Source organism: Homo sapiens, chromosome 11 (genome assembly GCF_000001405.40).
Source record: "Homo sapiens chromosome 11, GRCh38.p14 Primary Assembly".
In the NCBI taxonomy this organism is placed as follows: Eukaryota; Metazoa; Chordata; class Mammalia; order Primates; family Hominidae; genus Homo; species Homo sapiens.
In genome coordinates this window covers 120,894,820-120,908,657 of record NC_000011.10, presented here as the reverse complement: position 1 = coordinate 120,908,657, position 13,838 = coordinate 120,894,820, and the positions used below count along the sequence as shown (strand labels likewise).

General features: G+C 50.4%; 1 protein-coding gene across 16 annotated transcripts in view, besides 1 other annotated feature; it reads right to left on the bottom strand.

Annotated features, from left to right (window-relative positions):
- Nucleotides 1-13,838, bottom strand: part of GRIK4 (glutamate ionotropic receptor kainate type subunit 4) — a 477,159-nt gene that overhangs the window by 80,249 nt on the left and 383,072 nt on the right. For 14 of the 16 annotated variants that reach the window (NM_014619.5, NM_001440404.1, NM_001440403.1 and 11 more), the window contains 2 exons: nt 10,019-10,126; nt 3,165-3,368 (listed from right to left, as the gene is read on the bottom strand). The exons of 1 other annotated variant lie outside the window; for it this stretch is intronic. In NM_014619.5, coding sequence (NP_055434.2) covers nt 3,165-3,368; nt 10,019-10,126 — 312 coding nt within the window. The remainder of the gene's footprint in view (nt 1-3,164; nt 3,369-10,018; nt 10,127-13,838) is intronic. One more of the 16 variants, XM_017017622.3, reaches the window with a different exon arrangement.
- Nucleotides 7,281-7,780: an enhancer, noted in NCBI's record as "H3K4me1 hESC enhancer chr11:120771587-120772086 (GRCh37/hg19 assembly coordinates)". NCBI's record gives its function as "activates a minimal SCP1, AML or CMV promoter by ChIP-STARR-seq in naive H9 embryonic stem cells {active_cell/tissue: H9 hESC(naive)}" and the evidence as "EXISTENCE:reporter gene assay evidence [ECO:0000049][PMID:30033119]".

Below are 13,838 nucleotides of genomic sequence, written 5' to 3'. Positions count from 1 at the left end.
CTATGACCAGCAGCTAACACACCCCTTCTGCATACTCTCCCCGCCTGCCTGCCACCTTCCCCTTTCCCTCACCTCTGTGTCTGTGGACTTGCACTCCCTGATTTAGCATGCAAGATTTGACCTTCGGCTCTGTTTTCTAGGGAGCCTGGCCTAAGACAGCTCTCATACTTCCTGTATGCCAAATTCTCAATCTCTCTGTGTGTGTGTGTGTGTGTGTGTATGTGTGTGTGTGTGTTATTTTAAATCTTTACCAAAAAAATCCTTTGCAGATGAACACTAGAGCTGTGGGGGAAGGGGTGGAAAGGATAAAATAATGTGTTTAAGCACACACAGCTAGTAAATGAATGAACTGAAATTTTAGCTTAGGTCTGTCTAACATCAAGATGTGTGTTTTCTCAGATCACGAGTACTGAGATCAGACAGACCAGGGCTTAAATGCTGGCTCTGAACTTACTAGCTGTGTGATCTTTATCAGGTTACCTAACCTCCCTGGGCCACCATTTCCTCATCTGTATAAGGGACAGATTTAGATGCAATGGCTTCTAAGGTCTCTTTCAGCCAGCACATTCAATAGCCCCAAGGGCCTCACATGGGCCTCTGCTTGCTGTTACAGCCTCTGGAATTTTCCTGTGCAGCTTGGGAAAGGGGTCACAAAGAAGGGATCCAGGCCTGAGGGCTACCACAATCCTAGGGGAACATCCTGGAAAACATCCCAATCCTTCAAACCTGGGGATGGTGGGGTCCCAGTGTCATCAACTCCCATCCAGGACCAACCCCAGTGGCACACCAACGGCCTTCAGCCTTCTACCTTTTGCTTGCCCAGGAAACTCCCACCCATCCTCCCTAAGCCAGCGCACACATCCCAAGGGAAGCCTTCCCCCTACAGCCCCATTGTGCGCCCACCGTGCATCCTACTCTCCTCTAGATGTTCTCCTACAACGCCTTCCACTCTGCCTCCCCTGCACTTATCACAGCTTGAAATTACACAAGAATGCGATCATTCATTGATCTCCGTCTCACTCACTAGTCCAGAAGATCTGTGAGGGCTGTGTCCGTGTTTATTTTGTCCCCCATTGTATCTCCAGTGTCTACAACAGTGGAAGATGTTCAATAAATATTTATTGAATTAATGGGTTAATTAATTAGTTCATGTCAAGTAGCCAAGTCTCAATGAGGCCAAAGCAGCAGTATTTTTGCTTGAAAGATCTGGGGTGAATTCTAAGATTCTGACTGTTCAAGTCACTCGGTGTGTGGCTGCATGTCTATGAGTCCCAGACTCCTCTCCTTGTCCTCCAGTCTATGTCACAGCTCATTAGGGGGCTAATAAGGAGATGGCTGTGCACTGACACCGCCGTCTCTGAAGTCACCCTACCAGTCATCAGGCAGCCCAAGGAGACCAAAGAAATCAGCTCAAGGTGAACAAGGACATCAGTAAGAAGGTAAAGAAAAGGCCTGGCATTTCGGCTTTCTATGGTCTAACTACTGAGCTGCACCTTCACAGTGGAAACCAAATAAGAAGAATGTTTCAGGAGTGGGTCTGAAAGACTAAGTAGAGAAAGCCACAAATCCTCTTCCACTTAAGCACGTACATCATCAGGCTTGAATCTCGAAAACTGAGGCTCAAGGACTGCAGAGGGCTTTCTGCTGAAGCCTTCGCCCTGCCATCCCCACCCCCATGGCAGTCGTCCAGGGCTCCCTAGGCCTTCTGCAGCCTTCTGTTGACTTGTCAGCCGTCTGTTTGCAAGCGCCCCTCTGAAGGCAAGGCCTCCCTTCTGAACCAGCCCTCTCTGGACTCCAGTCACCCTGGGTCGTTCAGAATTCCCAGAACAAGGCTGGCCATTTTACCCTGCTCGGTCATTGCAGATGCCGTCCATGTTCCGTCAGGCAAACTCCTGAAGTATCCTCCCTCCTCAGTTCTTAAACACCTTTTCCACAGTTCTCATCTACATAGGACTTTTCCCAATCCCTTGTCAAGGACTGCTTATTTAATACCTCAAATAGTATTTTTATCATTGAAGAGTAGGATTTTAAAAATTTATTTGATTTCCAAGTTTGTTTGATATAAAGGGTTTAAAGCATATTAATTCAATAAAGAAAAAGATCTGGGTTCCAATCTGAGCCCTGCCTCATGCTAACAGTATAGCTCCCGACAAGTCACTCAAGCTTTCTGGGCTCGATTGCTCATTTGTAAAGTGGGACTAACAACCAGCTAAAAGGTGTGTTTAAAGAGGATTAGAGATAATGCATGTAAAACACCTTGCACATCAGCACATGCTGGGAGGCTGCAGGAGCTCCTTCTACCATTGAAAGCCCAGAGGGGAAAAGAGTTGGATCAAGGGCACATCAAGAACCCAGGTCTGTGCTCTCTGCATTGTGTCCTCATCACCTATCCTGATCATTAAAACTCAGTTATGGAAATATGGATGGTGAATTCCCAATGACTTAATTAATTTTTACAGTTGTTAATAGTGTGTACAAAGAAAACAAGAGATTTCCCCCTGGAAGAACTTTCTATACCCTTGCTCTAACCTAACAGATGTCTGACATTCTCCAATGCTCACCTGAATGTTAATCACGTCTCCACATTCACCCTGAAAATCTACAGCAGGTCCAAGCACACCTTGGCCCTCGGTCTGTAAAAGGACATTAACGCTAACCAAAGATAACACAAGATGTACGAAAATAACTGTAGCTGTGACCAACTCCTCTGCCAGTCAATCCCTTTGCCCTGTTATTTAGCCACGTCTCCCTTGGCAGTGTCTCTCAAGGATCCAAGCCAGCTGATGTGGGTGCATTCTCTTCTCCCAGGACCTGTTCAAGCTCTGCTAGGGAGTGCTAATGAGCCACAAAATAATCAGAACAATCAAAAAGCACCAAAAATGGAACCCAAACTCCCTCATCTGTGTTAATCAATCAGAGCCTCCATGACTTGTCACAGGCTCTGGACTGGGAAAGCCACGGGATAGGGATCATTGCAGGCTTATCCACCACCGCACGTCTGTGCCAGTCCAGGCAAGATTTATAGAATGAGTGGACAAATAAATGACAAATGCATGAATGATTGACTGAACAAATGGAGGGTTCATGAGCGTGCAGCACAACCTCATGCTCTTCCAATCCCTCCCAGCCCACCCTCAGGCCCAGATCACTTGTCCTCTCCTTACCCTAGCGATCAGCTCCCCGACCATTCCCGTCCAGGTGCCGTTGGCCTCGGGAACGCCGTACACGCCATCCCCAACCAGGCGGATCTTGTAGTTGAATCGGAGGATCTCTGCCAGCTCCTTGAGCATGTCCACACAGAAGCCCTCGTAGCGGTCATTGCCTTCCATCTCCTGGTGGTTCCCCTTCAGCATTAAATATGGGTTCTCCTGCAGCAAAACTGGGCAGCTGTCATTCTCATCTTAGCCCTGGTGTCTCACCCGCGTGTGATGGGGAGGGCCAGGGGCACAGAGGGTCGGGGAGGACATGGGGCAGAAGGAGGAAACTGACGTGGGTAATGGGCTACTTTGGGGTGATGACCAGCTCCTCTCCCTGATGTGCTCCTTAAAGCTGTCCTTCAAGGTGCTTCTGTTGTCAGGAACACACAGTGGTTCCCACTGCATGGAGGGTCAGGCTCAAGCTGCTTCAACTTGTTTAAGGTCATCATCTGACCCCACTATCTATCTCTCTCTTTTTTTTCTACCCCTGCTTTATTCCAGGCAGACCAATGGCTGGGCATTATCAGAGATATAAGGATGTCTGCAATAAGCAGGCTAGGTAAGAACAGGTACATGTGCAACTGCAGTCCAAGGAGGGCATTGGGAAGAGGGCAGGTCTCTCCAGTGAGATGTCCAGAGAAGGCTCCAAGCTGAAGGTGGGATCCAAGCTGGGCTCTGGAGGAGGCAGAACACTGAGAGATGGAAGGGCTGTGAATGAAAGGCATGGGCCAGGGGAAGGCACAATCAAGGGCATGATCCTGAGTGGCTGCTCAGTGGACGATGGACCTTCCAGGGTAGCCGGAGCACAGGTTGTGAGCAGGGGCGAGATGGGAGGAGAAATGTAGATGGATGGGACTCAGATGCCAGGAAGTGGTGGCTGCACATTACACAAGGTATAGGGGGGAAGCATCAAGCGTTTTAAAGACGCAAGGCTGCGAGTAAGGAATACTAAGTAGTAGGAGAGGAAGCATCCAGGGGTGAGGACAGACCCTCTCCTGAGATGAGACCCTGAATCCTGGGCTGCAGGTTGGATTGGAGAAAGCCAGAAGGATGTAAGAGGCACAGAAAGGAACAGGTCTGATAACTGGTTGGTTGGGTGTGGGTCCTCAGAGCCTTGGAGCCCGGTGGATGACTAACAGAGGGTGGTGTCATGATGGGCTCGAATGCCTGGAGGGGAGGAGGATTTGGAACAGGTTGAATCTGAGGTGCTGGCAGGCTACGCAGGCAGAAGTGACCCACTGGGTGTTTAAAATGTGGAGCAAGGGTAAGACAGGGGCCAGAGATTGCACATGTACAGAGATCAAGGCTGAAGCTGGGGAATATGTGAGACCGTCAAGGGGAAGAGTTGAGAAAGGGCAGAAGAGGAAGAAGAAGAGGCCCTGGGGAGAACCTGGTCTTAGAGAGTGGGGAAATGAAGGGCAATCACAGAAGACAACACAGAAGCAGCCAGGAAGGCTGAAAATCAGGGGAACATGATCTTAGCGTCAAGGAGGAGGAAATTGGAAGATAGAGGATGTAGCCACTCCCACCATTCTCACAGACCTAGCAGGGCTGGGAACCAGCGTGTTGATCATGTGTCACTGCCGACCTTTTGAAGGCAGGCGTGGTGGGGGCAGCAGGACTCCGTAGGATGAGGACTGAGCGAGTGCCACAGGAGTGAGGGCTGTTCAGCATTTTGACAGGTTAGGAGCTAAGGGAGGCAAGGCGGCAGGCACAGAGAGGGCAGATCGCCTCTCCTCCAAGCTCCTTCCCCACCGCAAACAGCAGGGCTGGGGGTCCCAGGGGCCCACCCAATTCTGTGATTCTGTGACTCCCTACGTTGGAGGGCAGCTTGAAGGGCAGCAGGGTGTAGGAAAGGTGAAGGCGATGGTGTTTTAGGATGGGACAGTCCAGGGTGTATTTACAGGCAGGAAGGGAAAATCCCTGGAAAAGGGGAGAAAAGAGGAGGAAAGAACCATGCTAGCTGGTGGAGCAAGGGCCCAGGAAGTGCAGGGTGGAGGCAGGGTGGGGCGGGGTGAGGTTGAGGCCTGAGCCTGGAGGTGAGGTAGAGGGTATGGGTGGGTTCACAGAGAGAAGGGAGCTCGTGCTGGCCCCAGAGTTGTGCTGAAAGTGGGGCAGATAGGCTTGAGTCTTGGTGTGTGGGAAGATTTTCAGCAGAGCCGCTCAGGGGATGCGACAGGGACAGAGGAGAGCTGGGCTCAGGGATTACCAAGGCCCGGCTGCAGAGGGGAGGCTGGATGCAGACAGGCAGCTGGGAGCAGGGGTGGCAGGGACAATCGGGCTTGGGTACAGGTGTGCATGGAGAAACCTGCACATCACGATTCTAGGAGCCCAGAGAGGAAAGCACTGAAATCCTGATGGGCTGAGCTCGTTCTGAGAAGGACTTCTAGGCTGGGGAAGATGGAGGGCCAGACAGACACAAGGTCATGGAGGGACTGTGAGGGAGAGCAGGATGTGGGCGTGATGAAGTGGGCAGCCAGAAGGCAAAGGTCATGTGTCAGGGAGCGGGAGCTCTGAGTGGAAGGTGACGTGATTCTGATTCTGGATGAGTCCACTGTCACGTCAATGAGATAGGAACGGTCAGCCTGCCTTCCACACACGCCGTCCTCAGCACAAGGGCTTCTCCCTGCACAAACTCTCCACACACTCCCCCATCTTCCACCTCACCTAGTCATCTTTGTCCGCAGAGTCACACTGCCTCCTTCTGTGCCAACCCATGTCTCAGAACTCCCCTGCTCTCATGCCAGGGCCCACACAATCACCCTCCAATGTTTTCCGATTTGCGCCTGCTCTAGGTAGAATGGGAGTGGGTCCTGGGACAGACTCGTCACCTGCTTGGTTCCCCTACCTGGCTCAGCATTAAGCACTTGCCGATCATGTGAGTAAGAAGCAAACAAATGGCTTCCTGGACAGGGCATGGCTGGGGGTTTCCATCTCAGGACTGGTAATGTCCCATTGTATCTTTGATTGTCCCAAGGGGTGTCACAAATTCTTCTCCCCAAATACTCACTACTCTCAAGTTAATTTAAAACTTATTGACATATTCAAAGTGAACAGACACAAGGCCGGTCTTGGAGACGCGTTGGAAAGCCCAAGGATGGGGATGGTTAGGGCTCACTGGCACCTTGGAGAATGCTGGGGTGTTGAGTGCTAGCCTGGAGCAGGGGTGCTGTGAACGCGAGGTGAGAATGTGGCAAACCGCTGAACACGGGGTCTGATACAGAAAAGGTGTTCAGGGAATGGGAGCGGCAGCCAATTCCATGTTTGCTGGCATTAACCAATAAACCATCCACACGTCCCCAAGTGTGCCCTGACCAGAGCGGGGAGACAACATGAATGTGTGCTGAGTTTTAAGGGATAAATCATTCGGGATTACCATTTGCCAGGGAAAACCCACAGATGGTCACCTGGGAACTGAATTAAGATCGTCATTCCTGGTAAGAGCTATCGAATTGGATCAGCCACTGTAGGCACACACGCGCAAGAAAAGAACCAAGGCTAATAGTTGTTTGAGTTGTACTTACCATGTTGTTAAATGTCACCTCACACACCAGTGTCCGGCCTGCACCCCACCCCTCATGAGCACGTGCACGTATGTGAATAAGCACACGTGCACACATGCACAAATCAGGGTGACTTTCCCAGACTAGCAACAGGACCCTGTGGACTTGGCGTAGCTGTGGATCTGTGCCAGAACTCCAAGCACGGTGTAATTCCCGGCTCTGAGAGGCTGGCAGTACAGCCCAGCCACTTCCCCATCTCCCTCCCAAAGTCTTGCTGGCTTTTAAGGGACACCCCTACCCTGTAGGAAGGAATTCCTTCACTCAGATTCTAATTATTGAGCTCCTACTTTGTGTCAGCCCCTCTACCTTCGAGGAGCTCTCATCCTAGAAGGGGAGGTAAAGCTTTAAATAATGACCTCTAATAAGAGAAATGGGAGGGGGCAGGGAAAAATGCTGGAGACAAGGAGAGGACAGGAGTTAGAGCAGGGAAGGCTTCGTGGGAGACGTGACATCTGAGCAGAGCCTTGAAGGATGCATAGACATTTCCAGCTGGAAACAGAAATTAGAGGGAAGGGTAACCCAGGCATAAGGAACAGCATGTGCCAAGGCAGGGAGGGGCAGGATGCAGCGAGCGGCAGGATGCAGCGAGCAGGTCTTGAGCCATCCACTAGACCCCATGCTGCATGGGGAGGAGAAGGCGAGGTGGGCTGGGCCTGGTTACAAGGGTTATGTCCCAAGGTAAGGGGCAGCAGGGCCTGGGCAGTGGCTGAAGGATTGTAAGGAAGGAAATGCCAGGCCAATTCTGATTTTCAAATGACCACGCTGACAGGAGGGTCGGGGGACAGGCAGACAAAGAAGGGAGCCTGCCAGCAGAGTATGGAGCGGCTCCAGAGAAAGAAGTAGAGGGGCCCCGATCCTGGATTAGGGCAGGGGCTTTGCGGATGGATAGAAGAGGACAGATCCAGAAGATTTTTAGAGACTAAGAAGACAGCGGGAAGGAGGTCCCAGCAATCACACTGGGTGCTGCACCCCCTCCCCCAAAGTGGACTCAGCCAGGCTGTTCCCAGCTCTCTGCTGGACAGCGACACCGCAACCCTCTCATCTTTCTGGCATTTTCACACTGGTTCAGATAAGCTAAGGCTGAGCAGAGATGGGCGTGGGTGAAACCCTGGGGGCTGGAACTGCTCTCTCAGTGCTTGCTTCGACAGCTCCCTGTGCCAAGAATACCCCTCCCCCGGCAACTACTTGGCTGCGTCCTCACCTCCACCAGGTCTCTGCTCAATGCTCCCTTTCTCGGAGAGGCCACCCTGACCCCTGGGTATCAACATCACCAACCCTCTCAGCACCCCAGGCCCTTCCCGGCTCCAGCTCTTTTTCCTCAGCCTTGCTGCCTTCTAATTCATTGTTTGACAACATTGCTTTTTACTGTCTATCACACATTCCTTGCTGGAATGTAAGCTCCTTACAGGCAGGGATTCTTGTCTTTTTGGTTCATGGATGCACTCTGAGCACCTACAACAGTGCCCAGCATATAGCAGCACCCAATAAACAGTCATCACATAAATAAATGAATGAATGAAAATGTTCAGTGACCCCATCTCCTCACAGTGAAGGGAAACTTAGTAGCCTGGCATTCAAGTTCCTAAGCTCTATGGACCCAACCCACTTTTCTGGCTTATGCCTCTTCCCTTTCTTACCAGTGTCTATTTCTCAGGAAAACCTGTACCTTTCAGCTTTTCCTGAACACCCGACAATGCCCTCCTTCATTGACCTCTCCTCCCCACTCATTCCCTGTCTTTCAGAGCCCATCGTCAATGCCCCTTCTTTCCTGAAGGCTTTGCTGACCTCCCCATGGGAGGGGACCTCTCTCTCCTTGAAACCCCACAGTCCTAGGTGTGTGTCTCTTTCCAGCTTTTATCTCTTTCTGTTTATAGTAGATCAATCATTTCAGCCCAGGGCGCCTGGGCCCCAGGAGTTCATAAAGATAGTGATGGAGGTCCTTGAACTCTTTTTATTATCTCCAAAAGCCTAAAAGACATGGACACATTTGCAGACCTTGCACAGTTAGCAATGATAAGGCTGAGGAGGCGAACTCATGCATCGCCTCTTTGCTCTGGGCTGCAATGATATCATTGAGGTTCCACTGGCTATCTCCTGCTAATAAGATGCTGGGCCAGGCAGGGAAAAGTGCTTTAGATTAGTTAAAAGGGGGAGGGGAGGAACAAACTAATTACTGCTTAATACATGTAGTTGGTTTAATTGACAAATCTTTTAAACATAAGGTCTTCAGAGGGGAAGACAAATAATACCTTGGCCATGTATGCACTTGACTTATCCCATCTACTAACTTACAACCTCAGGATAGAGAACAGAGCTGAGTCCTACTCATCTTTGGTCTCCAGGACTGGGTACAGCACCTGGCACATGGCAGGGGGACAGGGAAGGGAGGGTGAACTTGGCAATTACTGAATAGAGGAGAATCAAATAAAAAAGGGCACATGGTCTCTTGCCCTGTATTTTTTTTTTTTTTTTTTTTTTTGAGACAGTCTCACTCTGTCACCCAGGCTGGAGTGCAGTGGCACGATCTCGGCTCACTGCAACCTCTGCCTCCTGGGTTAAAGTGATTCTCGTGCCTCAGCCTCCCAAGTAGCTGGAATTTCAGGCGTGTGCCACCGTGCCCAGCTAATTTTTCTATTTTTTTTTAGTAGAGACAGGGTTTCGCCGTGTTGGCCAGCTTGGTCTCAAACTCCTGGCCTCAAGTGATCTTCCCACTTCAGCTTCCCAAAATGCTAGGACTACAGGCATGAGCCACTGCACCTGGCCTCTTGCCCTATAGATTGAGAACTCTCTTTTTACCACCTGGAAATGAAGAAACAGACCATGTAAACCCACTGACATTCCCATGTCCGCTTCAGGATGTGGTGGGGGAGGGTCCTGTTTTGTACACAGCAGGCACCCAGCAAGGTGGGCTGCTGGGAAGGGGCAGGGGTCCGCAGGGTCTGGATCCAGCTGCCCGCTCTGTGTCACAGGTCCCCTTCCCTTCCTCCTGCACAGTTGCCCCAGCTGACAGGGTGCCTCCAAGAGGCATCCACAAACTGTGGTGTCTCTCCACCCCAACCCTCCCCCCACCTGCTCTGGAACTCATCAAATATCATTTCCATATGAAACAGCAACTTGAGTGTAATTACGCTGTCATAAATTGGGCTCAGTGCTGTGATTAGAGCTCCCATCTTCTGTTCAAGGGGCAGCCTGTGAGTGCTCAGAGCCGGGGAGGCACCCCAGGATGCTGCAGCTGGGAGCCTAGGAGAGCCCACTTACCAGGATGGTGGTGACGACCAGGGTGGTGTTGAAGAGAGTGTCCGAGATGTTGGAGGCATAGAGGTGGCTGTCCATGCTGAGGCCCTCTGCCACGTGCCACTGGCCGATCTGAGGAGACCAACGGAGAGGACTGGGAAGAAATGGTGGCCTCCAGAGCTGGAAGGAGCCAAGAGGCTGACCTCTGCCTCTGGCTGGGCTGCATGTGAGCAGGGAGGGGTGTGGAGTACGGAGCCGGGGGCTGAACTGCAGAAGGGAGACTGTTTCCCAGGGTTGGGGGGCTGAGGGAAACGGGGGCTGTAACAGTCAGGGAAGAAAGGAATAAAGATGTGGGGGAGAGGTGGGAGAGGAAAATGGAGAAATAAATCAGGAATGAATGCAGTTTGGTGAAGTTCTCTCACACAGAAAGGAATGGAACATGTGGAATCACATTATTTTGAGGCAGGGATGGGCTGCGGAGTTCTTTTGATCCGGCCTGCCTTCAATCATTTCTGATTATCAAAATAAGAACCAGAAGGCTATACTGGAGAGAACTATGCCCTTTGATAAACATTTGCTGGATGGCTGAAAGAATGAATGAATGAATGAACCTAAACAGGTCTAGTCCAGATGGACTCATTTATTAGCTGTGAGAACTCAGGCAAGTTATTCACATCTTTCAGAACCCCAGTTTCCCCATGTATAAATGGGGATGATAATGCTTGTCCTGCCTTCTCGGAGCTTCTCATGTATGTGCCAGTGGGTGTTCCATTATTTATCCAGACCCAGGAACGCAGATCTCAACAGTGAAACCTTAGAAAAGTGACTGAACCTCTCTGAGCATGTTTTCTCATCTAAAAAATGGGGATAATAATAGAAACCTCATTGGGTCATTGTAAGAATGTATTTAACCTGGCACTCAATACATGCTGCTTTCCTTCCACGTTGTCTTTCGTTTTCTCTCTCTATTGTGTTTTGTTTCCTTTATTTTGTTTTTATTTTATTGTGATAAGAACACTTAATATGAGATGTACTCTTTTTTTTTTTTTTTTTTTTTTTTTTGAGAAGGAGTCTTGTTCTGTCACCCAGGCTAGAGTCTAGTTGTGCGATCTCGGCTCATTGCAACCTCTGCCTCCCGAGTAGCTGGGATTACAGGTGCCTGCCACCATCCCCAGCTAATTTTTGTATTTTTGGTAGAGATGGGGTTTCACCATCTTGGCCAGGCTGGTCTCAAAACTCCTGGCCTCAAGATCCACCCACCTCGGCCTCCCAAAGTGCTGGGATTACAGGCATGAGCCACCGCGCCCGGCCGAGATGTACTCTTTTACCAAGTTTTTAAATGTACAATACATTACTGTTGTCTGTCTCATTGTCTCAAAGAACTCCAGGTGAAAAAAATCCACAACTTACTCAGTTCTTCATTCTGGTAAGTTACCTAAATCTAAACTCAACAGCAATGGGTTTTTAGATTGCTTGTTTTTCCCAACGGATGTCTCCTTTTAATTTTTTTAATAAGACATGGGGTCTTATTATGTTGCCCAGGCTGGTCTTGACCTCCTGGACCCAAGTAATCCTCCCGCCTTGGCCTCCCAAAGTGCTGAGATTACAGGCGTGAGCCACTGCACCTGGCCAGAACTCTTTTTATACATACAAAAATACACACACACATATCTATATACATAAAATCCCAATATATCTCTACTAGCTGGAGCCCCTGGCAAATCATTGCTGTTGCTGAGTGTTTTTAGGTGGGCAGCCAGGAGAGACGACTGGCTAAAAACGCAATGAAATGCACACACCTTTCTCTGCCAGGCTTCTGCAGGCAGTAGCAGCAGCTTCCCTGGAAGACCCACACAAGTTCCACAGATGCCATGTGGTTCTATTCCGCAGAACTGGGCTCTGGGTTCTTTTATGGAATTTCCAGCAACAGTAAAGACATGTTTCACCCTTTCTCGCCGCCCCCACCCTATGGGGCCAGAGGACTGAGAGTGAGAGGGAGTGGCTCCCTGCTTCACAGTCTGGAGAAGGTGGAGAGTGTGGATGGCAGGGCCAGCCAGGCCCACCCCAGACCATCAGCTGGGAGCTCTCGTGGGCCTCCAGTTCCAGGCAGGAGCCTTATGGTCTCTACAGTTGGGCCTTTCCTGTGGAAAAGGGGAGATGACCAAATGCTCCCGTCCACGCCCTGCAAGAATGCCACCTGGAAAAGGGTGGGCAGCTGTCCCCATCTCTGCAAGGGCAGCATGGTTCTGTGTGTGTTCATGTTCCTTTTCAGTTTACAAGCAAGGCCTCATACACATCCATACAACAAGCCCCGTTTTACAGATAAGGAAACTGAGGCCAAAACAAAAGAGCCCACCCAACTTGCCTGAGGTCACAGAGCCTGTCAGCTGAGAGGCCTGAGCTTTAAGCCCTGCACTCTTAAGCCCAGATGAATCTTCCTGAGGAAGCCTGCCTGGTCATCCTGTCTGACTCCTCCACCATTCAATTGCACATGCTTGTTTACCTATGTGTCTTCCCCATGAGCAGCCTGTGTGGCTCAGGACAGCAGGTGCTGGTCTTATACTTATGCTTGTGCCCTTGCTCTGGGCCTGGCTTTGGAAGCGAGGGAAAACCATTGTCTATCAGCAGATTGCTGTTGTTGGTGAGGCTAGGGCGGAAGGCACTTTCTCTTTCTCCGAGCCCTCCTCTGGCCTTGGGAGCTCCTATTGTCTCTTAAAGGGACCAGCCAGGCCATGTTATGGCCTGAGATTCCCCTTCCTCCTCCTCTCTGCATGGGTGAGGGATGAGCTGTTAAGGTTTCCAAATGAATGGGGAAAGGGTAATAGTTACTGGACACCTGATGTGTTAGATGTGTCAAGCCTATCATCTCTGAATTCTCCCATCAACCCTTTCGAGTAGTTACATGTGTTTCTGTTTTAGTTATGAAGAAACTGAAGCTCAGAGAGGTTTAATGGCTTGCCTAAGGTTCCCCGGATGGCAGGTGTAGCACGGGCTTGAACCTAGATCTGTCTGACTCCTAATTCTGTGATCTTTCTTGTTTCTGCTGCTGTCTCTTGGGGTGGGGATACGAATGTGCCCTTCACTTAAGCAGGCCAGGCTAACCGGGGAATGGCTTCTAGGGCCATTCCATTAAGAAGTCCAAATACATAGCTTTCTTCTCCTTGGTCTTGACACTCCACAAAGCCAGGTGAAATTATTGTCCTCAAAGAGGCTCAGTTTCCCTGTCTGAAAAATGGATAGAATTGGCTCCCAATGGACTCCTAGGCTGGGAGGGGCTATATTTAGGCAGAAAGAACAGAAAGAGCAATTGGGCTAGATGTCAGCACTGGGATGTATGGAACAGGACTGAACTCCTTAGAGTCCTTTCTGTCATCCTAAACCTCATACCAACAGAGCCAGTAAGACCTCAGCTCCCCGCTACCCACTTTCCCACCGCCACTGTTCTCAAGGGATCTAATCCTCACCAATCACTTGCTAAAAGAAGCCCCGGCCCCAGACTCCCTGGTCTGACCCAAGCCATGAGACAGGTAAAAGCCAGGGGTAGGAACTATACACCCAGAGCCAGATCCAACAGCCTGAGCAACGCACCTTCCCACCTCCCTCCTCTGGGGACACGGCAAAGAGACTAATTAGCCCCCAAGCTCCAGTCAGGAAATGAATCCCCCACCCACCCTCCCATTAGCCCCCAAGAAATTAATAAACTCATCAGATCCAACAAAGCGGCTTGGCAGCTATTACCCAGTGCAATCTAATTGCAGAAAGGCAGTGGGAGGGAAAGGGAGATTCAGAGCCAGGCGCCCTGGGATACAGGCTAATTGCCCCACCCACTGGGCACCCTCGAAGC